We start from the raw sequence: 25,016 nt of genomic DNA, 5'->3' as shown, positions 1-25,016 counted from the left end.
ATTATTGTCTTTTTTTTCAAATTAAAAAAAAAGGATCTATAAGAGTTTTTCTTTTTTTTTTAAATTAAATACTAGTCCTTGGTCTTGGTCTATATGTGCATTTTGAAATACTTACCTCCAGGCAGGGATGGTTCTTTTAATTTTGGTGTCTTTCACTATGCAAAGGTTTTTTTTGTTTTTGTTTTTTACTTTTTATGTGTGTGTCTTTTGCTATGCAAAGGCTCTTCATTTTAGTGTTGTAATATTAATGATTCCATTTATTTATTTTTTATTTAATTAGTTCTAGTCTACTCTCCAAATAATATAGCTATTTACATATATTTTCTTCTGATTTTTTCACATTTAGGTTTTTAATCAATCTGGAATTTATCTATCTATTTATTTATTTATTTAGAGACAGGGTCTTGCTCTGTTGCCCAGGCTGGAGTGCAGTGGCACGATCTTGGCTCATTGCAACCTCCACCTCTAGGGCTCAAACAATCCTCCCACTTCAGCCTCCTGAACAGCTGGGACCACAGCTGTGTGCCACCACACCTGGCTAATTTTTGTATTTTTTGTGGAGATGCGGTTTCGTCAGGTTGCCCAGTCTGGTCTTGAACTCCTAGGCTCAATCGATCCTCCCTCCTTGGCCTCTCAAATTGTTGGGATTACAGGCATGAGCCACCACGCCCAGCCATGGAGTTTATTTGTGTGTGTAGTGTGAAGGAGGGCTCTAGTCATTCTTCCAATTAGAAGCCCAGTCATCTCAACATCATATACCGAAGAGTTCATCTTCCCCTCAATAATTTCTTATGCCAGCTCTATTAAATACAAAGCACTAATAATGGCTTGGATCTGTCTGGGGGCTACTTTGTTCCATGAGTTTAACTCTGCTCTAGTACCCCACTGCCTTAATTACTTATGTAATTACTGAATTAGCTTTATAATGATATCTAGTAGGTCAAGCCCCTCCTTCAACTTTCCAAATTGTTCATATGAATTTTACAAATATCTCCTCCAGTTCTTTTTTTTTTTTCTTTTTGAGATGGAGTCTCGCTCAGTCGCCCAGGCTGGAGTGCACTGGCGCGATCTTGGGTCACTGCAACCACCACCTAGCGGGTTCAAGTGATTCTCCTGCCTCAGCCTCCAGAGTAGCTGGGATTACAGGCACCCGCCACCATGCCTGGCTAATTTTTTTGTATTTTTAGTAGAGACGGGGTTCCACCATATTAGCCAGGATGGTCTCAATCTCCTGACCTCATGATCGCCCACCTCGACCTCCCAAAGAACTAGGATTATAGAGGTGAGCCACTGCACCCAGCACCAGTTCTATTTTTTAAAAAACAACATGTTGGCATTTTAAGTTAGATTTTTATTAAATTTATAGATTGATTTGAGATTTGATGCCAACTTTGTAACATTTCCCGTCCATGAATATGGTATGTTTCACTATTTGTCTAGGGCTTTTAAAACGTCTTCCACAAATGTTTTATGTTTTTCTCCAAAATGATTTTGTATATCTTATAGACTGATTACTGGGTAACTTTGTTTCTTTTTCTATTATAAACAAAAAATTTTTTAAATTATATTTTCGCTATTATTTTTCCTGCTGTATAATAATGCTGTGGATTTTTCTATATGGATTGTACCCAACAATCTTGCTGAATTCTCATATTGATGTTAACAGCTGTAGAAATGTCTGAAATTTCTATCAGACAATCATATTATCTGCAAATGATCATTTTGTTTCTTCCTTTCCTCTTTATTTCTCTCTTGTTTTATTGCATTGGCTAGGCCTTTACATAATGTTGGATAGACATGGTAATAACAAGCATCCTTAATGTGTTCCTGACTTTACTCTGAATAAGTACACAGATTTATTAAATGTTAATTTCATCAATTTCAGGGGTAAATCTGATTAGGTCATGATACATTTTTCTCTGAGGTATTTTATTCGCTAATGTTTTATATAGTATTTTCATGTCTATGTTCTCAACTGAGATTGGCCTATAAGTGTCTTTTTGGTATGGTTATTATCCAGTGTTGTTATCAAGGTTCACTTGGTAGGCACTATTAGTGTTCCTTCCAGCAGTCAGCCCCCATCCTCCCCACTTTCTTACACACAAATCATGAAGTGGGGAGACATCAGAACAGATTCTCTTTGAATAGCATAGATAGCTCCTTGAACGTCCCTCTTTTTATCAAGGAGGAAAAATCTCATGTCTCATTGGCCAGAACTAGGTCCACATGGCCATCTCTAGCTGCGAGGGTGGCTAGAAAAGTGAGTATCTGACATTTCATTTTATTTTACCATCCAAATTTGTGTTTTCTATTTATCATGCTTTTTGTAGGCTTCTCTTTTGTGTTCCCAGGCCCTCTGTGGATTGATCAAGTTTTCTCTTGGAGGTTATGGATTGTTTTACCACCTCTTCAGAGATTACCTTTATATTTTGAATATGCATACTTGTCTTAGAAAATCTAAAATTAGGCTGGGCACGGTGGCTCATGCCTGTAATCCCGGCACTTTGGGAGGCCGAGGCTGGTGGATCATTTGAGGTCAGGAGTTCAAGACCAGCCTGGCCAACATGGTGAAACTCTGTCTCTACTAAAAATACAAAAATTAGTCGGGCATTGTGGTGGTGCACACTTGTAGTCCCAGCTACTCGGGAGGCTAAGGCACGAGATTGCACCACTGCACTCCAGCCTGGGTGACGGAGCTGGCTGTCTCAAAAAAAGAAAAACAGAAAATCTAAAATTAATCAATATTTTTTTCTAATTCCTAAACAATATTAGCACCTTAAAGTGCTTTTTACTGTAATTATTACCCTCCCATCTTCTGTGTTATTGATTGTTGTCTTATTATTACTGTTTTTAAAACATCCTACATCCATTCAAAGATTTACCTAGTTGTTTATCAATTTCTTCATTATTATTACTTCTAGAACTCCCTCTCCTTCCTGGGCTCAGTTTCCTCTTTCTTACAGCACATCCTTTAGTAGTTCTTTCAATATGAGTCTCAGAGTTAGTAAACTCTCTCAGACCTTGATTGTCAAAAATTATTTTTATATCCTATTCTCAGTTCCAACTTTCCATTTATGTGGGCCTGAGGCCCTAATTCCTGTTCCCCATGGGCATGACATGCCCAGTCCCTAGATGTCAGAACCCACACTCTGTTCTGATGTCCCCCCGATGCCCTTCCTTAGCATTAACGGGTCTGCTTTCCACTCTGGTTTCAGTTTGCCTGTTTATTTCTAGCCTCGGAGGATTTCCCTTTCTTTGTTTTGAGCTCAGCTTCTTTACATAGTTATATTTCATCCTGTGTTTGTCATGGGAAGTGGTGGAGGGTCCCCATTAATCTTTTTCCTTACTATTACTGGAAGTCCACATCTATTTATAACAAATTTCCCTCTTACTAATGTTTATTACTCTTCTTTTAAATAAATATGATATAAATATGATATGACAAAACAGACATGACAGGGAGAGCTGGATGCCTCTTATTGTGTTTCAGCAAAACTTACAAAGTTCCTAAAATTCTTCCTGATTTTCATATATAAGGAACATTCTCCAGGTAATAACTTGAGAGAATGCAATTGTATGCCAAGAAATGGAATTTTCCATAGGTTTCTATTTTCTGGCATCTTCCTCACTTCTCTTTGCCCTGCAGAGGTGATCCCCGAGGAGAAACTTGCTCAGTATTTGATTTACACCCTCCACGCTAAGAATGCCAAAGCAGCATGTTGAGAAACCTGTCTCTGTAAAAAAGCCATGCTCAGGACAGACCCAGAGCTCAGCTGCCCCTGCAAATCAACAGCTGGCTGGACACTGAACTGGTTCCAAAGCCTGGGAATTCACAGCTACTAATAGATGAATGGGATCAATCTCATTTGCATTTCATCATGACTCAGGAATTCCCTGGTACTGCATCTCTGGGCAAATTAAAACATCAGTTTAATCAGCTCATGCCCTTCACTGTCAGGACACGGGTCTGGGAGAATTCCATCCACCCTAGTGACAGGAAGCAAAGTCTCCCATCAAGAAGGAATAGTCCAATTCAAGCTGCTGGGGAGTGGGGTCAAGGCGAGAATGGGAATCTAAATATGGTTCCTCTCAGAGATGTCTAACCACGTCCGAGGCCCTGAGAATGGACAGTCACTGGTGTCAGTGAATAAACTGGGGCACTGCCCAGCTAGGGTGTTGGAAATACTTTCTGGATAATCACATATGGGCCAATCGGAGAGGCCACAGGTAGGGGTAAAAGTATTCATGAAATGGCTGACGTAAGACTTGTTTGCTGGAATGGACAGTTAATTTCAATAAAATATATTTCTTTTTTTTCTTTATTCTTTTCTTTTCTTTTCTTTTCTTTTTTTTTGAGACAAGGTCTCACTGTGTCACCCAAGCTGGAGTACAGTGGCATGATCTCAGCTCACTGCAGCCCTCAACCTCCCAGGCTCAAGCGATCCTCCCACCTCAGCCTTCCAAGTAGCTGGGGCTGTAGGTGCGCACCACCATGCCCAGCTAATTTTTGCATTTTTAGTAGAGATGGGGTTTCGCCATGTTACCCAGGCTGGTTTTGAACTCCTGACCTAAAGTGATCTACCACCTTCAGCCTCCCAAAGTGCTGGGATTATAGGTGTGAGCCACCACACTTTGCCAATAAGATATATTTCATATGGCATCTAACCACAAATATTCCGAAGGTTTCAGAAAGGAACTGAAAGGAAGAAATGGGCTGGATAGGAGTATAGGATGGGGAGAAGATCAGACAAGCCCTAATAATCCATTACGCCATTCATAGTAAGAAAATAGCAAGAAAGGCCGGGTGTGGTGGCTCATGCCCGTAATCCCAGCACTTTGAGAGGCTGAAGCAGGCAGATCACTTGAGGTCAGGAGTTCAAGATCAGCCTGGCCAACATGGTGGAATCCCGTCTCTACTAAAAATACAAAAATTAGCCAGGAGTGGTGGTAGATACCTGTAATCCCAGCTACTCGGGAGGCTGAAGCAGGAGTATCACTTGAACCCAGGAGGCGGAGGTTGCAGTGAGCAGAGATCATGCCATTACACTCCCGTCTGGGCAATAGAGTGAGACTCTGTCTTTAAAAAAAACAAAAAAAGAAAGAAAAGAAAAGAAAAAGAAAAAAGCAAGAGATTAAAGAATATATTTTGCAAAGCAGAAACGGCACGCTTGACTAGTGCTATTTTGTCATCCTTGATGTGTTTCCCTTCCAAAAGGAGAGTGACAACCTCCACCTTGGGAAGGATGGGTCCACTTGAGAAGTGGAAGCCATCTTAACCACTTTGGTCACAGGTGACTGTTTGTTTTGTCATTCCCTTTTCGGACACCCAAGTGGTCACCAGTAGTAAATGAAAATCTTACTGAGACCAAAAGGTGCATTGCCACCTCCAGCACTTACTTGTCCACAGCATATAGGCAGCACCGTCTCTTTCCTACAGCTAACACTGAACCAAGGGATGAGACAAAGTCCTTTAATTCTCTTTTTTTCAAGGGCCTCACTCTGTTGGCCAGGCTGGAGAGCAGTGGCATGATCATGGCTCACTGCAGCCTCCACCTTCCAGGCTCTTGAATTCTTAAGATCACATTTCGCTGTAACACGTCATCAAAGCCGTGGGAAAGATGAGCCGAAAGCTCCTCTTAATGGAAACGCAGTTGAGGACGATTTTGCAGAATGCAAGGTGGGGAGGGGGAGATTCATTTCGTTTATTTTATTTTATGTAGTAATATTTTTTACAGTCAGGGTCTTGCTCTGTCACCCCAGGCTGGAGTGCAGTACTGTGAGTATAGCTCACTGTAGCCTCAAACTCCTGGCCTCAAGCCATCCTCCCACCTTGGCCTCCTAAAAACATTGGGATTACAGGCATGAGCCACCTCGCTCGGGCAGATTCTGTTTTCAAAAACAATGAGATTGGTGGTCGTAGACGGTGGACGTAGTTACTTTCCAAGTGACCTTTTCATCCCAGACACCCACTGCCTCCACTGTCACACCATGGGGTCAGGTGGGAGGGGGCTTCTGTGCAGAACGCAGGCTGCCATGACTCACCTGTTGAGATACACCCGCTTCTCGGTGAACTGCCCATTGCCATGGTGAGGGTCCTCAAAGGGCTCATTCTGGACGACCTCCACCCCTTCTCCCCGGTCACTCTGTTCATGGCTGTGTTTGCTGATCATGTACAGCTGTCCAATTTTGTACTACAAAACAGAGTCAGAGACAGAAAGGTCAGCCCCACAGCGTGCCCCTGACATCCCCCTCCAACCATAGCTTGGCAAGCCACTAATAACATCAGCACCTTCTGCTGAGAAGAGAAGGCAGCCACATGGGCCTCATGTTACTTTTCCTCGGGAGCTAGGGAGAGAACCAGTTGTGAGTAGAACATCGAGACGGCGTGTTCCCGTGAATATTTTACATCACCTTGGCAAATGCTCGGCCGGGTGGCTGGCAGTCTGTAAGCTTTGGCAGCTGACCAAACCTTGGGAAGGGGGACACTGGAGTCTCCCTTTGCATTCTACAGGGTTAAATGGAGCTAAAGTCCTGCTTGGTTTGGCCCAAGACAGCCGAGGGTGTGTGATTTCTGCCCCTGCTTTCTGCCTAATTAGCAAAATTGCTGAACAGGGAGCATTAGATATCATCTATTTCTTCTATCCTCCCTCTCTCAAAATGCTCAACTCTCCTGGAGGCCTCTGTCCCCTAGAACAATGGTTCTCAAAGGTGGCTGGATATTAGAATCACCTGAAAGCTTTTCAAAGCTCCAGAGGCCCCGGCTCCCCCATGAGTGGAGCCAAGGCTCATAATCTGAGCCCCTGAAGGCCGCTCCTCTCCGAGGACCACCTACAGTACTTTTAACTCCTTTTCATCCAATTCCATGAAGAGTGTGGAGCCTTCCAGTCCAAGGACCCAAAAGTCACCTGTCTTACCCTAAAATAATCATGTGGAGCAACATACTATATGAACATTTTCTGTCCTTTTTTCATGTATGAGCTGTTCCATCTGCCTTCCTGCCTCTCTGAAAACCCTGGGACCAGCAGGCATTTCTTCCCCCAGTGGACTTTCGAAGTGGCAAAACGAATTTGATGGAAAAGAGAGAGGGGAGGGGGAGAGAGGAAGGAGGAAATTAAACAACTTTTGCATGAGGTACAACCCTGCTCAGAGTCAGGACGCAGGACGATGCGACCCTGCTGCCATCCTTCCTAGAGACAGACCCTGGGTCATTACCACCGACGCCTCTGGGATGGGGGAGTGGGGCCTGAGTCTGCAACAAACTAATGAGGACTCGGGGTTATTCCCCAACAATCTGCAGGGATGCGGGTCCCCTGTCTGTCTGCATAAGAGACAGAAATAGATTTTAAATTAAGGGGGCAGATGAAATGCACAAGTCAACAGTGCAGTTAGTTTCACAGCTGAGAAGACACATGTGCCCGAAGGTTTCTCTTTCATTCTGAGGCAGGAGCAGGGACGGGAGTGTGAAGAAGCTCTGAAAGGCTCTGGTCTGCAGCCAGCCCTGGGGACCGAGCCCAGTAACCATGACAATGGAAGCAAGCTGCCGTCTGGGTCTTCTCGAAGGACTGTGTCTCCTATCTGTGCCACGCCCCTCTCCAGAACGGTCACATGAAAACGCTTTTAACGTGAGCGTATGTGTGCACGTACCTGTGTGTGTGCACCTGTGCTTGCAGGAAGTGGGCAGCACTGGGGATAAGACCAGGAAAAGGAAAAATAAAATTTAAAGATGAAATCCTCTTTTTTTTGTTTGTTTGAGACAGGGTCTCACTCTGTCACACGGGCGGGACTACAGTGGTGTGATCTCAGATCATTGCAACCTCCGCCTCCCAGGCTCAAGCAATCCTCCCACTTCAGCCTCTTGAGCAGCTGGGACTACAGGTGCGCACCAGCACGCCCAGCTAATTTTTGTATTTTTTGTAGAGACAGGGTCTCACCATGTTGCCCAGGCTGGTCTTGAACTCCTGGGCTCAAGCAATTTGCCCATTTCAGCCTCTCAAAGTGCTGGGATTACAGGCATGAGCCACAGTGCCCAGCCTGAAATCAATTTTTAAAATTAATTTTAGGATCAGAAGCTTGACTTCTCTTCCCTTAGTCCAGTACTGCTTTGACTTTTGCTCGTAAAGGCTAACACTCTTTCAAGGAGGAAGACAATAAGAAAAAGTTTACACATTGCAGATTTGTGAGCTCTACCTGTGAGATCAATATGCCACCTTATACAGATGGGCACACACTACCCAGGGGGTGGAGATTTCACTGACAGTTGCTTTGTACTTGGGGCTCAAAAAATAAATGTTTACATGCAATGGGATATTATTCAGCCATAGAATGGAACAAAGTACTGATACTGCCTAATGTTGTTAAAGGTTGAATTGTGTCCCCGCAAAATACATACTGTGAAGTCCTGACCCCTAGTAACCCAGAATGTGACCTTATTTGGAGATAGGGTCTTTACAGAAGTAATCATGTTACAATGAGGTCATTAGGGTAGGCCCTTATCCAAAATGCCTGGTGTCCTTATAATAAAGGGAAACTTAGACAGGGACACAGGCAGGCATAGAGGAAGATGATGTGGAGAGAAAAATGGCCATCTATAAAGCCAAGGGTTGGTCAGGCACAGTGGCTCACGCCTGCAATCCCAGCACTTTGGGAGGCTGAGGTGGGCAGATCACAAGGTCAGGAGATAGAGACCATCCTGGCGATCACGGTGAATCCCCACCTCTACTGAAAATACAAAAAAATTAGCCAGGTGTGGTGGCGGGTGCCTGTGGTCCAGCTACTTGGAAGTCTGAGGCAGGAGAATGGCGTGAACCCAGGAGGCGGAGCTTGCAGTGAGCAGAGATCACACCACTGCTCTCTAGTCTGGATGACAGAGCGAGACCCCATCTCAAAAAAAAAAAAAAAAAAAAAAAAGCCAAGGGTTGAGGTCCGAACCGGATCCTTCCCTCACCCCACAGCCTCCAGAAGGAACCAAGCCTGCTGACACTTTGATTTCAAACTTCTAGCCTCCAGAATTGTGAGACAGTAAATTTCTGTTTGTTTGTTTGTTTTGAGACAGGGTATCATTCTGTCGCCCAGACTGGAGTGCAGTGGTGCGATCTTGGCTCACCACAACCTCCGCCTACCAGGCTCAAGTGATTCTCCTGCCTCAGCCTCCCAAGCAGCTGGGATTACAGGCGCACGCCGCTACGACCCGACTAATTTTTATATTTTTAGTAGAGACGGGGTTTCACCATGTTGGCCAGGCTGGTCTTGAACTCCTGACCTCAAATGATCCACCCACCTCAGCCTCCCAAAGTGCTGGGATTACAGGCATGAGCCACTTGCTCCTGGCCCCAAATTTCTGTTGTTGAAGCCACCCAGTTTGTGGCACTTTGTTACAGCAGCCCTAGTCAACTCATGCAACAGGTGCAGGGGTTCCTTCTGGAGCGATGGAAGTGTTTTTGGATAGAGGTGGTTTTGCACAACGTTGAGAATGCACTAGATGCCACTGATTGTTCCCTTTAACCTGGTTGATTTTATGTTATGTGAATTTCACCTCAATTTAAACAAAAGCACCGATCCTGCTTCAGAAGCAGACACCTCTAAACCAAAGTACTGCCCAGGACCTCGGTAAGGGGCTTGGCAGAAGAGCTATTTCCACCACTGGACCATCTTCAGGCACTCCAACCCACTCACGTATGAAAAACATATGGGATCAAGGTCAGTGCATGACACAGAAAAGCCATTAGCCAGACGCCAGTCAGCCCTGGCTGGGCTCAGCTCGAGTGCTTCCTGCTCAGTGGAGATGGGAATGGCCGAGGCAGCTGATTCACCAACAGCCGGTGGAGGGCTGGGCGGCCGGCCTCATTGATCATTCCAGTGGCTGCTGAATGAGCCGGCGCGGGGCAGACACTGGCATTAGCTCACTGAGACGGCGTCAGTGTGGGGGTGACCTGCAGACGCTGGGGGTGGCGGGACACTCGAGCCCAGACACCGAGATGGTCAAGGGCTCTGCAGCCGTCACTTCTTCCCCTCCTAAGGAAATCAGGCCCACTTTGCTGGTCGTGGCCATGGGAACTGGGCCATTCCAGGAGCAGTGGTTTTGTTGCTGTTTTTAAATCTCGTATTGACTCTCAGACACAAGCAGCAGTTTCTCGTTTGGGGGAGGGAGAAGAGACAGAGAGTCCTTGAACCACGTGTTTCAAAATCTCCAGAGACACTCCTAAAAATGCTGAATCTCAGGTTGTTCCAGACCTTCTCCATTCAGACTCTGGGGAGAAAAGAGTGGGAATCTTTCAGAAATGCACATAAATGCTGAGAACCGCTGCAGCAGAACGTGGTGAAGGCAGCCATCAGCACTTGCTCAGCTGTAAATGTTCTGTCTTTAGGACGCTTGTTTCTTTTTTCCTCCTTTATACTGATTTCTTACAAAGCTCCATCCCTAACTTAGTGAAAATACCATATCCCTGACCACCAGCTCCAAACAAACTTGTATGTTGAATAAAGGCCACAACATCCAAAGACATAGAAAGATTCTAAAGCCTCCAAAGCCTGAGAATTGATCGTAGAATTGATGATGATGATACAGCATCACTTTATTGATTGCCCATTAGTGCAAGGCACTGATTAAGTGCTTTATATTTCTTTTGCCTTTCTTTTAAAAGAGACAGGGTCTGGCTGGGCGCAGCGGCTCATGCCTGTAATTCCAGCACTTTGGGAGGCCGAGGCAGGCGGATCACCTGAGGTCAGGGGTTCAAGACCAGCCTGGCCAACATGGCAAAACCCCGTCTCTACTAAAAATACAAAAATTAGCCGGATGTGGTGGTGCACGCCTGTAATCCCAGCTAATCGGGAGGCAGAGACAGGAGAATCACTTGAACCCAGGAAGTGGAGGTTGCAGTGAGCCGACATCACGCCACTGCACTCCAGCCTGGGCTACAGAGGGAGCCTTTGTCTCAAAAAAACAAAAACAAAAACAAACTAAGTAAATAAAATAAATAATTTAAAAAATTAAAAGCAGCAGGGTCTTACTCTGTCACCCAGGCTAGAGTTCAGTGGCATGATCATGGCTCACCTCAGCCTCGACTTCCTGGGCTCAAGCAATCCTCCTGCCTCAGCCCCTTGAGTAGCTGGGACTACAGAAGTGTGCCACCACACCCAGTTAATTTTTATTTTTTTACTTTTGTACAGACATGGTCTCATTATGTTAGTCTCCAACTCCTGGCCTTAAGCAATTCTCCCACTTTGGCCTCCTAAAGTGCTGGGATTACAGGCGTGAGCCACTGCACCCAGCCTATATTCCTTTTTTTTGTTTTTGAGATGGAGTCTCGCTCTGTCTCCCAGGCTGGAGTGCAGTGGCGAGATATCAGCTCACTGCAACCTCCACCTCCTGGGTTTAAGAAATTCTCTGCTCAGCCTCCTCAGTAGCTGAGGTTACAGGCGCCCACCACCACACCCAGCTAATTTTTGTATTTTTAGTAGAGACGGGGTTTCGCCATGTTGGCCAGGCTGGTCTCGAACTCCTGACCTCATGATCCATCCGCCTCGGCCTCCCAAAGTGCTGGGATTACAGGCATGAGCCATTACACCCGGCCGCCTATGTTCATTCTAATCTCTCAATGATTCAGACAAGTGAGTATTGACAGACGAGGAAGCTGAGTTGCAGACAGGTTGAAGACTGTATGTTACAGAGTTTCTAGATGTCAGAATTGGGATTCTGACCCCCCACAGGCCTGTACTCATTCTAGTCCACACAACTTCAGCCCTTATTTCTTTACCAAGTTAAATGCTTTAAAAATCTAGGCCTCGTGATGATTTAAAAAGAGGGGAGGGAGGTGGCAGAAAGCTACTGCCTCTGACCTTTGCTATTGCAGAAGATGAGTAACAAAAATCTGATTGAAAGATCAAAGTTGTTTAATCTGTGCACATGTAAGGAATGGTGGAGCAATTATGCTCTAACTTTGTAAAATCTATTGTTATAATTCCAGAGTTTGGGTAATCATCATTACAGGCAATCATGACTAGAGACAGTTCCATGCTGCAGACTGAACCTCCGTGAGTTATCATCAGAACAGCTACTCCAAATAATTACCTCCATAGTCAAAAACATCATGGGATGCAGATCTTTCCCCACACACCACGCTGTACACTTGATAGAGCTGCAAAATTGGAGGCAAGGCAGAGTTGCATAATGTACTGAAGAAGCTCAGCAGTTTCACTAGTTTGAACTTTTGCAAACTCTTACATGGGGCACCATCCAGTCATTTAACTTTTTTTTTTTTTTTGAGATGGAGTCTCGCTCTCTGTCGCCCAGGTGGAGTGCAATGGTGCAATCTTGGCTCACTGCAACCTCTGCCCCCCAGGTTCAAGGAATTCTCCTGCCTCAGCCTCCCAAGTAGCTGGGATTACAGGCACACACCACCATGCCTGGCTAAGTTTTGTTATTTTTTTAGTAGAAACGGGGTTTCACCAGGTTGGCCAGGCTGATCTCGAACTCCTGACCTCAGGTGATCCTCCCGCCTCAGCCTCCCAAAGTGCTGGGATTATAGGCATGAGCCACCACACCCAGCCAAGTCATTTAATCTTGAACCTTGAATTAAAAAGGCAACCCCAAGCCAAAACTTCTGAGTACAGTAAGGGATTATCAAATGAGTGCCAACAATACCTTCAACATCATCCATGCCTGAAGAAATACTGGATCCAAAGTTCTAGGGTCAGCAGAGCTCTAAGCTATCACTGATTTTCACTTCACCCTTCCCCAACTGCTGCGTCCCAGAGTTTCTGCAAAGCCAGCCTCCATAACCCCCTACCCTAAAGCACCTAGTGGGGGTCATCTTCCTACCAACCAATCTCTATGCCCTCCCTTCCTGTCCTCTTTCTTTCCCTCCATTAGTCCCAATACCATTTCCAAACGTCACAATGTGAACAGCGGGAACCATGGCTTTGCAACGTAGATTCCCAAATTGGGTGGTGGTAATCCCCGCCTGGGGACCTCAAGGCCCCAGGTCAGGAAACAGAATTTATATTTACTTTGGCCTTTACCATCAAAATGGGCGGACGCCATATCACCTAACAAGCACAGAGAAACACCTGTCCCTCTGATTTCACGTGAAATCACATATTTACCCAGCTGTGAAACGTGTGTGATTCCTGCCTCACACTGGCTATGTTGGAAAAGCAGAGAGTGATATCATTTGGCTTTCTTGGGAGTTTCCTGCATTCTTCACATCACCATTAATGCTTTTGTTGAAGCCTTTCTTCCAGCTTTCTCCGCTGTTACCTCTGCTGGACCTCAAAGCACAGGGAAGCAATTGCTTCAGGAGGCACAAACCATCCACTGCAGAGAGCACCTGAAGGATAAATGACGCAGAACTCTGGCCCACCGTTGCTTCATGCCAAGTGGTGTCAAAATTCTAATTACACACAGGAAAGGAGATCCAGTGAGTCCAGATTTTGACAACCTCATCTCAGAAAGCTAGAGGTGAGAGCTGTCTCTTTTTCTGGTAATCCCACAGCACAGCTAAGGCCCTAGGACAAATGTTCTAGTCTAATGGTTGGCAAAGCATGCAGGCTGATGCCTGCTTTGTAAATAAAGTTTTATTGGAACACAGCGATGCTCATTCATTCTATGGCTGCTTTCATTTACAATGGCAGAGTTGAATACTTTGAGAGACTGTGTAACCCCCAAGGCTGAAAATATTTATTATCTGGCCCTTTATAGAAATAAGTTTGCAGACCGTTGTTCTATTCCACGGCTGGGTCCAGTCTGGGCCACCCTCAGCTGTTCATCTAGATCTGTTCTGCCCAGGACCAAAGCTATTTGCTATGTGTGGCCACTGAGCCTTTGAAGTGTGGCCCATGGAATAGAGGGATTGAATTTTAAATTTTCTTTCATTTTAATTCATTTAAATTTAAGACTGGTGCTTGATTCAGTTATTAGAAAACCTTCGGCCGGGCGCGGTGGCTCATGCCTGTAATCCCAGCACTTTGGGAGGCCGAGGCGGGTGGATCATGAGGTCAGGAGATCGAGACCATCCTGGCTAACAAGGTGAAACCCCGTCTCTACTAAAAATACAAAAAATTAGCCGGGCGCGGTGGCGGGCGCCTGTAGTCCCAGCTACTCGGGAGGCTGAGGCAGGAGAATGGCGTGAACCCGGGAAGCGGAGCTTGCAGTGAGCCGAGATTGCGCCACTGCAGTCCGCAGTCCGGCCTGGGCGACAGAGCGAGACTCCGTCTCAAAAAAAAAAAAAAAAAAAAAAAAAAAAAAAAGAAAACCTTCATATATGTTTGAAACACTTTGGGTATGTGAATCTACTTTTTCAACTGGGAATTTTATGAAATCTAAATAAAGATCAAGTACTGCCAATGAAAATTTAGCGTCTGACTTGGGAGTGCTGTTTAAGTCTAAAATGCACACTAGATTTGGAAGACTTACTACAAAAAAAAGCAAAATAGTTCATTAATAATTTTTATGTTGATTGAAATGATATTTTTGTATACTGGGTTAACTAAAATATATTTTTAAAATTAACTTCACTTGCCTTTTTTTTTCCTTTTCTTTCTTATTTTTTTAGAGACAGGGTCTCGCTCTGTCATCCAGGCTGGAGTGCAGAGGTATGACCGTAGCTCATTGCAGCCTTGACCCCCAGTGCTCAAGCGATCCTTCCACCTCAGCCTCTTGAGTCACTGGGACTACAGGCAGGCACCACCACGTCCAGCTAAGTTTTGTATTTTTTCTGTAGAGATGGTATCTTGCTATGTTGCCCAGGCTGGCCTCAAATTCCTAGCCTCAAGCCATCCTCCCGCCACAGCCTCACAAAGTTTTGGGATTATAGGTGTAAGCTACCATGAGCCAGCCTATGTGTTTCTTTCTACACACTTTTTAAAATGTGGCTATTAGAAAATTTAGGCTGGGCGCAGTGGCTCACGCCTGCAATCCCAGCACTTTGGGAGGCCGAGGAGGGTGGATCACGAGGTCAGGAGTTCAAGACTAGCCTGGCCAAGATGGTGAAACCCCATCTCTACTAAAAATACAAAAATTAGCCGGGCGTGGTGGCAGGCACCTGTAATCCCAGGTACTCAGGAGGCTGAGGCAGGAGAATCACTTGAACCCGGGAGGCGGAGGTTGCAGTGAGCAGAGATTGCACCACTGTGCTCCAGCCTGGTGACAGAGACTCTGTCTCAATTAAAAAAAAAAAAAAAAAAAAAAACGGTTTCCATGTATTTCTGAGCTGGTGAGGTGGAGCACTAGTAATTAGGGTTGCATTTGGAGAGGCCCTCCCTTCCTGAGGACTGGCTATTACCTGGGCCTCCAGAGACGTGATAATTGTTCACAGTGGGCTGTGATGGAAAGCACTGGGGTTTTAAAAATGAAAATGTGAAGCCAGCGTCCTGATTCTACCATTGACTAGCTTTGTAACCTTAGACGATTTACTTCTCTGAGCCACAGTTTATTATCATTAAAATGGAACTAATAGAATACCTCGCAAGACATGGTGAGAATCAAGTGAGAAAAAAAAAAAAACTTAAAAATTAAAATGCTTCATAAATTGTATAATAAACCTGTACACCAACTGCCCTCACCACTGCTCCTTCTAGTTGGCCACATGTCTGACTGTGACTTGCAGATCTGTTTCATTCATATCCCTGTTATGCTGCGGGTTCCAGAAAGTATAAGAGAATGAGGCATCTGCCATATACTTGTACAATGCCAAAACCAAAGGAAATCTGACCATCTGCTCAAAACTATCTTTTCCTTATGTAAAAATTTCATTAGACGGTAGTCAGATTGACTACTTCCCATAAGTATTATAAAAAGCTTGAGAATTTCCACTTAGACGAGGCAGCTAGAAGTGTCAAGTTCGTAGAGACAGAAAGTCGAATGGTAGCTGCCAGGGACTGGAAAGAGTGGGTAATGGAGTGTTTAGGGTACAGCGTTTCAGTTTAGGATGGTAAAAAAGCTTCTGGAGGTAGATGGTGATGATGGTTTTGCAACAATGTGAATGTACTGAATGTCACTGAAATATACACTTAAAATTGGTTACAGTGGGCCAGGCATGGTAGTCTATGCCTGTAATCCCAGTGCTTTGGGAGGCTGAGGTGGGAGGACAGCTTGAGCCCAAGAGTTGGTGACCACCCTGGACAACATAGGGAGATGGTGTCTCTACAAAAAACAAAAAAATAAAAACTCAGCTGGGCATGGTGGCACACGCCTGTAGTCCCAGCTACTCGGGAGGCTGAGGCGGGATGATCGCTTGAGCCCAGGAGGTCCAGGGTGCAATGCAGTGAGCTATGATCATACCACTGTGCTCCAGCCTGGGCAAGCAAGTGAGACCTCATTTTCCAAAAAAAAAAAAAAGATTAAAATGGTAAATTTTATGATATGTATATTTGATCACAATTAAAAAGGCTCAGAACTTGTCATTTTTCAGTGAGTATGGCTCATGCCTCAAGGAAACCATCTAACAATTACTTTATGATTATGAAAAAATTATTAAAGTTTATTATGAAATAATTTTTAAAATTATTTCTATTTGATGAACCTTTGGTTTAGAAGCTTCCTGAAAGGTATTGAGCCTAGAAGACGGGAGAAATATGAAAAGACTCCCCGGAGAAACAATGAATGTTACATGAGATTCCCTGATTCCTGCCATGCCAGGGGAGTTCTTTGTTTGCCGTGCCCTAAGCCTAGATGTCTTTTTTTTTTGGTGGTGGGGGATGGAGTTTCACTCTCTCTCCCAGGCTGGAATGCAGTGGTGTGATCTCGGCGCACTGCAATCTCCACCTCCTGGGTTCAAGCAATTCCTCTGCTTCAACCTCCTGAGTAGCTGGAATTACAAGCGTGTGCCACCACGCCCGGCTAATTTTTGTATTTTTAGTAGAGACAGGGTTTCACCATGTTGGCCAGGCTGGTCTTGAACTCCTGACCTCAGGTGATGCACCTGCCTCGGCCTTCCAAAGTACTGGGATTACAGGCATGAATCACCATGCCCAGCCCGAGAGGTCTTTAATATATGACCATTCTGGAGGATTCCTGTCGGTGATGCTCCCACACAACGAGGTACTGACTGCGTGCCCAATGTTGCAGACAAAGACCCGGCAGAAAGGAAAGAGTCATTAACTGAACCCAAATGAGTTCTGATCCGGTCTCAATGAGAACACATTCCTCAATGAACATGAATGTCACATGAACATCACATTCACAGTCGACCGTCTCCAGTTGCTCCTTATCCCGAAGTTCTGCCCGAGAGTAACTCTACAGTGAGACCAATTCCAATTGCTTTTTCCTTGGGAAAGCAGCGTGTATTTTTACCTCCAACAGCTGGATCTGATTTGGGTTCTGCCCAAGCTAAGAACATGACTGGCTAAGCCCCAGTCTTCCAGGCCCTGTGATTCAATGTGTAGATTTCTCCATGTAGACAGGAAGGTTAAAAAATAATAACAAAAAAAAAAGGTGTAAAGTTCTTGGGTGTTTTGTCAGATGTCTCTCAGCCTGGTCAATAAACCATGAAAACCAATATCCGATCCCACAAAGAAAATACAAACCTGCAGCTCATATTTCAGGATATCAGTGCATCATCACATATTTATCTTTTCTCTTGAGTTTTTATAAGCAGCCCTCGGAGGTGTCTTGTTTACGTAATACCTGTGTCATTATGCCAGGGTATGGGAATGAAAAAACTGATAAAAAGATTTAAGAAGCTGGGTTATCAACATTTAATTCAAAAAATCCCCCTTTTGTGACAAACTAATATAAACTGTATTGGACGCTGATGCTTAACCTGTCCTAAGTTCTGGACTGAACTGAATAGAAATAGAGCAACTGAAATCCAAGGGAAGGGCTCAGGCTATGCTTCCTGCTGGTACCAGCACAACCTCTATCCTGCTGTTGCTGCAAAACTGTGCAAATCGCCTCAAGGGTACTTGACCATGGAGGAGCATAATCTACTTGACTGAGTACAGGAGAGTAACAATAGTCTTCATAGTCTATGCAAGTAAGAGTGCATGTATATTTTTGCTGCTTCTTCCAACACTGACTCGCTTTTAGGGGTGATGTTCTAGCCCCGAGAATTCACTTGACTCATAAATTGAAAAGCCGAGATGATAACATGCAGCACTTACAGGTTACTTTATAAGCACTGGCTAAGGCAGTGGGTGTCATGTCCTTGTATTTATAAATGACAAGCTGAGCAAATTAGCCATTAGTGGGAGCCCATGAAGAATGATTAAGAGAGCAAAGACAGGAACTGCCAGAACTCAACTCGAAACCACAAGGGCAGTTGGCTCTAGAAGCAGAACATGGGATTTCTTCATACGTTGGCTGTGGGGACGGTCTCGGTTCTTAAGAGTCCTGTGCGCTCCCGTTCATCACTCAACATGCATTTCACGTGTATGCCAAGCCCTGTAGATGCTAGAGGCAGAGCTGCAAACAAGATACACTTGGTGTCTGGCAAAGAGGGGGATTTCTTGAGCGTTTCTGCCTTGAAGACAGAAGACTGAAGGAAACTGATGCATTCATCAGAGCTCTCAAACGATTTGCCAGGAAATGTGAAACCGATCGCAACTCAAGTTAATGGAGAGGTTTGCTGACAAGTCTGACCTTTAGTAAGCAATCAAGGCTCTTGTGTTTACTACAGAACATAAACCCACAGTCAATCACAAGACCAAAAAGAGGGAAAATCAAGATAGAGCTTTCCCAGGACACATATCCTGCGCCATCCGCTTGTGACCTCTTTGTCATCTCTGTAACCTTAGCCCCATAAACAGAGATGTTCGCAGCAGAGAGGTCCATCCACTACCAAGGTAGCAAGGCCTTTCCAGGATGAAAAGAACCGTTGTTTGTGAAGCCTAATGCACCCATCAACCCTTCATGAAATCCTTAATGAAAACGGCTGGTAGCATCAAGGGAAGCCGCAGTACCACTTAAAAGCAGAAATCTTTCAGGAATGACAGCAATTAGTTTCAGCATCTTTGAGACCTTCTGAGAACAGAGGGTAAAGGAAATGCAAAGAGAAGCACTTGCTGCTTCAGGTACAATTGAACAGCGGGAGTTCTTAATGTCTTGAAAGAGTTATTCAAGGCACTTCATGCCTAGACAAACAAGATCTCAGTGATATTTGAGGGTCACTGGACTCCTTTGCTTACCTAAATGCTGACTGGCTTGGCAAGTGGTTTTGGGGTTCTGGTAACTACCTAGCAAGGCTGGGAGAGGGTTATATATGTGGATTGTATATGTAGATTGAGACTTGGAAAGTTCCAGCATCTTTGCTCACCCTACTTAGGAGAAGCTCCAGGTTCCAGAGGCATGGATGGCACTTGTAGCCAGAGAGGGTGTATGGCTGGTTGCAGGGAGGCACCATTCATTCTTAGGCCATAGTTGGCCTAAGAGTGTTTCCTCCTTGGTAAAAAGAAGCAGATAGCAGATTGAGGAAAGCAAATGGGTGTCAACTCCTGCTCTCCTGAGGTCGTCAGTGAAGACAGGGAAAACAGTAAGTTTGGTATATTTCCAGAAATTGCTACATTTAAAAAAAATCTATCTTCTGCCTGGGCATGGTGTCTCACATCTGTAATCCCAGCACTTTGGGAGGCCAAGGCAAGAGGATTACTTGAGGTCAGGAGTTCGAGAACAGCCTGGCCAACATGGTGAAACCCCATCTCTACTAAAAATACAAAAATTAGCCAGGTGTGGTGGTGCACGCCTGTAGTCCCAGCTACTTGGGAGGCTGAAGGAGGAGAATTGCTTGAACCCAGGAGGCGGAAGTTGCAGCGAGCTGAGATCGTGCCACTGCACTCCAGCCTGGGAAACAGAGCAAGACATCATCTCAAAAAAAAAAAAAAAAAAAAAAACAGAATGCTGCTGTGAACATGAGTATACAAGAATCTGAGTCTCTGCTTTTAATTACTTTGAGTACAGACCTAGAAGTGGAATTGCTCAATCATTTGGTAATTCTATGTTGAACTTTTTGAGTAACCACCAAACTGTTTTCCACAGTTTTACATCCCTACCAGCAATGCAGGAGGGCTCTGATTTCTCCACATCTCCACCAACACTTGTTTTACATTTAAAAATACTTTTAGGGAAAGGGTCTTGCTCTGTCACCCAGGCTACAGTGCAGTGGTGTGAAATAGCTCACTGCAGCCTCAAACTCCTGGGCTCAAGTGATCCTCCCACTTCAGCATCTGGAGTAGCCGGGACTACAGGCACACGGCACTATGCCTGGGTAATTTAAAAAATTGTAGAGATGGGTCTTGCAATGTTGCCCAGGCTAGTCTCAACTGATCCTCCTGCCTCAGCCTCCCAAAGTATTGGGATTACAGGTGTGAGCCACCATGGCTGGCCCATCATTTTCCTTTTTTTGTTTGTTTGTTTGTTTTTTTGATAACCACCATCCTAACAGGTGTGACATGATTACAGGATGTTTTAAAGTCAACTGTAGGTTCTCTCTTGGATCACTTATTCTTGCAAAGCCTATTTTAGGTGGAGCTTGGGTATTTCACATCCTTCTTCCAAATAAGTACTGAAACAGCCCTGGTAGAGATTTCAACCCCATTATTTATTTAAACCAGAAGAGTCAATCAGTAGGGTCCTGATTAAACACTGATAAACTAAGATGGTTAATTCTTAGGGGGCTGGAAGGCATCCCCTGGAAATATTCTGTTTGCAAACATAAGTTTAATTCAGTAAATCTCTTTAATGTCAAAAAGGTCCAGACACCTTTACAAACAGTTAAATCACTCTTTGTAAGGGCACCACAAAGAGGTAGCTATGAATTAGTACCTTAGGGAACCCAGGAGTGGTGGTAGGCATGACCTGAAACAGCACTTCTATTTGTTATAGAAGCTGTTTTCAGTATTATTTTGATGGCCCATCCAGGAATGTAGCAAATTACAGAATCACAACATAGAAGGCAGCCGAGTCCTACAGCGTTTACTTACGAATTGCATGTATATAATTTATATTCAACAATTTGGGGTGAAAAAGCCATTCTTGACCATTTGCATTTTTCATGTTTTCCTTGCAGATCAAGTCACTTTTTATTCTATTTTAGGTGACAGCTACGCTGGAAAAAGTAATCTTAAAGATGACTTTAAGCTCTGTAGTTGAGCATATAGATGTTTCCCATACTTTTTTAAAAAAAATATGCAATTCGGTGGCTTTTAGTATATTTGCAAGGTTGTGAAATCATCACCGCTATCCAATTCCACATTTTCATCATCTCCAAAAGAAACTCCATACCCACTAATAGTCATCCCTGATTCTCTTCTCCTCCCAGTCCCAGCAACCACTAAGTTACCTTCTGTTTCTATGGATGTGGCCATTCTGAACATTCATATCAATGGAATCATACAATACATGGCCTTTTGTCACTGACTCCTTTCATTTAACATGTTTTTAAGATTCATTCATGTTTAGCATGCATCAGTACTTCCTTTTTATTACTGAATAATATTCCATTGTATGGATATACCACATTTTGTTTATCCCTTCATCAGTTGATGGACATTTGGGTGGTTTCCACCTTGTGGCTATTATGAATAATGCTGCTATGAGTATTTGTGGGTGAGTCTTTTGAGGACGTATGTTTTCATTTCCCTTGGATATGGAATTACTGGGTCACATGGTAACAACATGTTTGACCATTTGAGGAACTGTCAGACTTTCCTCCATAGCAGCTGCAACATCTCATATTTTCTTTTGATAGTTTTAAGTTATGTACAGCAACAAGAAAGCCATAAGCAATAAGAAAGCAACAAGAAAGCCATAAGCAATAAGAAAGCAATAAGTGACTTCAAGAGTAAGCTAAAGGACAAGTGTGGTTGTCCAAGTCACTGTTTTATGTACTTGGCCACATCATCCATTGAACAACGATCGCAGGCAGCTCTCCAGCCACATGGCATCTTTTCATTATGCCTCAAGGACAATGAAGAGCTGAACTTCACATTACAATCAGAGTGAGAAGCTAAGACATCGTGTCCAAATGTGCTAATTACACAGCATTGACAGAAAGGGTGCAAGGGGTAGGAACAGAGCAGCATGGGGTACTGTTGTTGGTGGGGGGTGCCACATGGAAAATTAGGCTTGATCTGTGCATGAATAGAAACTAGCATGGCTGGGCGTGGTGGCTTATGCCTGTAATCTCAGCGCTTTGGCAGACAGATCACCTGAGGTCAGGAGTTTGAGACCAGCCTGGCCAACATGGCAAAAACCCCATCTCTACTAAAAATACAAAAATTAACCAGGCGTGGTGGCGGGCGCCTGTAATCTCAGCTACTTGGGAGGCTGAGGCGGGAGAATCGCTTGAACCTGGGAGGTGATTGCAGTGAAGATGGCGCTACTGCACTCCAGCCTGGGCGACTGAGCTAGACTCCATCTCAAAAAAGAAACTAGCATGGCAAGAAAGAACGGGGAGGTCACTGCCTGCAAGCAAGCTCTGGAAATCTACTTGCTCACAGCAAAACTTCACTACCTCACTAGGACCCCTGCAGATGCATGACAGAGTCATCTTAAAAGCTGCCATACAGAGCCCTGGCTTCTATAGGTTCAGCACAGTTCTAAAATATTTATACTATTTAATCCTCACAACAACACAATGAGGAAGGTAGCGTTTTAAATCCCTATTTGACAAATGAGGAAACTGATACACAGAGGTTAAGTCACTTGCCCAATGTCACCCAGGTAGTAAGTAGTAGAGCTGGGACTTGAACCCAGCCCGTCTAGCTGCAGCATGCACTCAGGCATTAATCTCCTTGGCCACTTGTTTGACATGCAGATAAAAAGGCTAGGTGGATGAAAATGTCACAGTTAAGTTTAGTGACTGCTCACTCCTGCATGTTGCTGACAGTTTCAGGTTGATGGTAAGAAGAGTTCTTTTTTACCAAAGAGATGAGAGAGCAGAGCCAAGGAGAGCAAAGAGAGGAGAGGTCACAGGGGAAGTAACCCAGGGGTACAAAATCAGAAGCCAAGAGCCTGAGATCCTCAATCCTGCTCCTAGAAGGTCTTCCTCCTACATAAATTCCTGCACACAACCATGAAAGGAAGCACAGCCGCCCATCAAAGTCCTTGAGACTTGAAAGTAAAAATTACAATTAATTAGTCCACCTAATTTGGACTCACAAAATGCGTGGGTGGGAGAGATTCCTGCAGCTGACAGCTGATGTGACAGTTATTTCATGAAAAGGAAAGCAGAACGTCCCTGCCTTTGGATTTGAATGTTTCCAAATGTGATTCCAAGCCCTCGCCTGAAACAATACTCAGGACAAGTGCTGAATATAGATATTCTGTGGGAGAAAAATCCCTTCCGCTTGCCCAGTCAACCTCAAGTGTAGGAAAATGAGCCGGAATATCCACTTCTCTTCATCCTCCTTCAGAGTTCGTCCAGTAAAGGCAGCCGGCTCCACGCCCAGCCCACACTCTCTTATCAGTTGGAAATTAGATTCCTAATGGCATTTGGGGAGGCAGGAATCGCATATTCATAGTCTTCATTAAGCCATTCCAGTTATCTGAATCTAAGTGTTTTGTGATCCACTGAAGTGATATATACTACTTCTTTTGCTCACTCTACCAGGAGAAATGTACAATCTAAGTTCCTGTCTATATCCTAATGATATACATTCAGGACTGTCCACAAGGCAGACCACAAACTCCTCTGTGGGAAGAGAACAAGGGAGAGGCTCCAGAAACGAATCAGCACATCTTCTTCCCTGTTCTCCTTCTATTGGGCATGCCTTCCTCCCCATTCCCAGAGGAAGACGTTTCCAGAACTGCTGACAACCCCTAGAGGAAGAAGGCCTTGCTTCCTTTCTCCTCTTGGGCAGATGGTATTTGCATACTGACATATTGTAAATCTAGTCACCCAGGTAACAGGGCTCCAGTTAGCAACAGCGGAATGAAGGTCAGCCTGGTTCCTTCTAAAATTAGAAATCAGACAAATCTGATTTTTAACCATTCAAGGTAGGATGCCCGGTTAGATGGCAAATTCAATTCTTACAATGAGTTTTCAGTTGGGAGACTGAGCACTAGTTAATAAAGGCAACGTGGGGCATTTCAACATGATCATAACATAGGTTTTGAAGTGTTGAAGTTTTAGCTCCATGATTTTCTTTCTGTAAATAATCCTAACTATGACTCCAGTGTCTGTTGGCAGAGTTATCTTTGACTGGGGCATCTCCCTTGACTTTTTTTCTTTTTTAATTGAGCTGAGTCTTGCTCTGTCACCCAGGCTGGAGTGCAGTGGCACAATCTCGACTCACTGCAACCTCCACTTCCCAGGTTCAAGCGATTCTCGTGCCTCAGCCACCAGAGTAGCTGGGACTACAGGCACATGCCACCATGCTGGGCTATTTTTTGTATTTTTTAGTAGAGATGGGGTTTCACCATGTTGGCCAGGCTGGTCTTGAACTCCGGACCTCGGGTGATCTGTCTGCCTCAGCCTCCCAAAGTGCTGGGATTACAGGCATAAGCCACCGCACCCGGCTTCCCTTGACTTTCACAGTTGATCAGTTATCAAGAACCGTGAATTTGGCCAGGCATGATGGCTCACGCCTGTAACAGCACTTTGGGAGGCCGAGGCAGGCGGATCACCTGAGGTCAGGGGTTCAAGACCAGCCTGGCCAACATGGTAAAACCCCATCTCTACTAAAAAATACAAAAATTAGCTGGGCGTGCTGGTGGGTGCCGGTAATCTCAGCTACTCGGAGGTTGAGGCTGGAAGAACTGCTTGAACCCGGGAGGCAGAGTTTGCAGTGAACCAAGATCACACCACTGCAATCCAGCCTCGAAGACAGAGCGAGACTCCATCTCAAAACAAAAACAAAAACAAAAACAAAAAACCCGTGAATTCTACACCAAGTAGTCCAAGTATTTGAGGTCTTCCACAGTTGGTGTCCCCCTCCCCACACAGTCTCTCCCTCACAGTCAACTGCCCGGCAGTGAACAAGCTCCGTATCTTCTACCCTCTTCTATCTCGACCTACACAGATACTCCCACTACCTGGGATTTTTTTTTTTCCCTTCTTTGCTTTCCCTGATCATGGAGGCGGGTC

The 25,016-nt window shown here is 44.6% G+C and overlaps 1 protein-coding gene across 3 annotated transcripts in view, besides 7 other annotated features; it reads right to left on the bottom strand.

The window, feature by feature from the left end:
- PITPNC1 (phosphatidylinositol transfer protein cytoplasmic 1) overlaps positions 1-25,016 on the bottom strand; it is a 319,976-nt gene that overhangs the window by 158,264 nt on the left and 136,696 nt on the right. For all 3 annotated transcript variants that reach the window (NM_181671.3, NM_012417.4, XM_047435746.1), the window contains exon 2: positions 6,043-6,191. In NM_181671.3, the coding sequence (NP_858057.1) occupies positions 6,043-6,191 (149 nt within the window). The remainder of the gene's footprint in view (positions 1-6,042; positions 6,192-25,016) is intronic.
- Positions 8,628-9,280: an enhancer, noted in NCBI's record as "H3K27ac-H3K4me1 hESC enhancer chr17:65525829-65526481 (GRCh37/hg19 assembly coordinates)". NCBI's record gives its function as "activates a minimal SCP1, AML or CMV promoter by ChIP-STARR-seq in naive H9 embryonic stem cells {active_cell/tissue: H9 hESC(naive)}" and the evidence as "EXISTENCE:reporter gene assay evidence [ECO:0000049][PMID:30033119]".
- Positions 9,626-9,920: an enhancer, noted in NCBI's record as "tiled region #6638; HepG2 Activating DNase unmatched - State 1:Tss". NCBI's record gives its function as "activates a minimal TATA promoter and a strong SV40 promoter by Sharpr-MPRA in HepG2 cells {active_cell/tissue: HepG2}" and the evidence as "EXISTENCE:reporter gene assay evidence [ECO:0000049][PMID:27701403]".
- Positions 9,626-9,920: a silencer, noted in NCBI's record as "tiled region #6638; K562 Repressive non-DNase unmatched - State 20:ReprD". NCBI's record gives its function as "represses a minimal TATA promoter and a strong SV40 promoter by Sharpr-MPRA in K562 cells {active_cell/tissue: K562}" and the evidence as "EXISTENCE:reporter gene assay evidence [ECO:0000049][PMID:27701403]".
- Positions 17,803-18,304: an enhancer, noted in NCBI's record as "H3K27ac hESC enhancer chr17:65516805-65517306 (GRCh37/hg19 assembly coordinates)". NCBI's record gives its function as "activates a minimal SCP1, AML or CMV promoter by ChIP-STARR-seq in primed H9 embryonic stem cells {active_cell/tissue: H9 hESC(primed)}" and the evidence as "EXISTENCE:reporter gene assay evidence [ECO:0000049][PMID:30033119]".
- Positions 18,305-18,808: an enhancer, noted in NCBI's record as "OCT4-NANOG-H3K27ac hESC enhancer chr17:65516301-65516804 (GRCh37/hg19 assembly coordinates)". NCBI's record gives its function as "activates a minimal SCP1, AML or CMV promoter by ChIP-STARR-seq in naive and primed H9 embryonic stem cells {active_cell/tissue: H9 hESC(naive and primed)}" and the evidence as "EXISTENCE:reporter gene assay evidence [ECO:0000049][PMID:30033119]".
- Positions 18,809-19,311: an enhancer, noted in NCBI's record as "OCT4-NANOG-H3K27ac hESC enhancer chr17:65515798-65516300 (GRCh37/hg19 assembly coordinates)". NCBI's record gives its function as "activates a minimal SCP1, AML or CMV promoter by ChIP-STARR-seq in naive and primed H9 embryonic stem cells {active_cell/tissue: H9 hESC(naive and primed)}" and the evidence as "EXISTENCE:reporter gene assay evidence [ECO:0000049][PMID:30033119]".
- Positions 19,312-19,815: an enhancer, noted in NCBI's record as "OCT4-NANOG-H3K27ac hESC enhancer chr17:65515294-65515797 (GRCh37/hg19 assembly coordinates)". NCBI's record gives its function as "activates a minimal SCP1, AML or CMV promoter by ChIP-STARR-seq in naive H9 embryonic stem cells {active_cell/tissue: H9 hESC(naive)}" and the evidence as "EXISTENCE:reporter gene assay evidence [ECO:0000049][PMID:30033119]".

This window comes from Homo sapiens, chromosome 17 (assembly GCF_000001405.40).
Source record: "Homo sapiens chromosome 17, GRCh38.p14 Primary Assembly".
Taxonomy (NCBI): Eukaryota; Metazoa; Chordata; class Mammalia; order Primates; family Hominidae; genus Homo; species Homo sapiens.
Note: the sequence above shows the minus strand (reverse complement) of the source record. Positions and strands in the feature narration are given on the sequence as shown.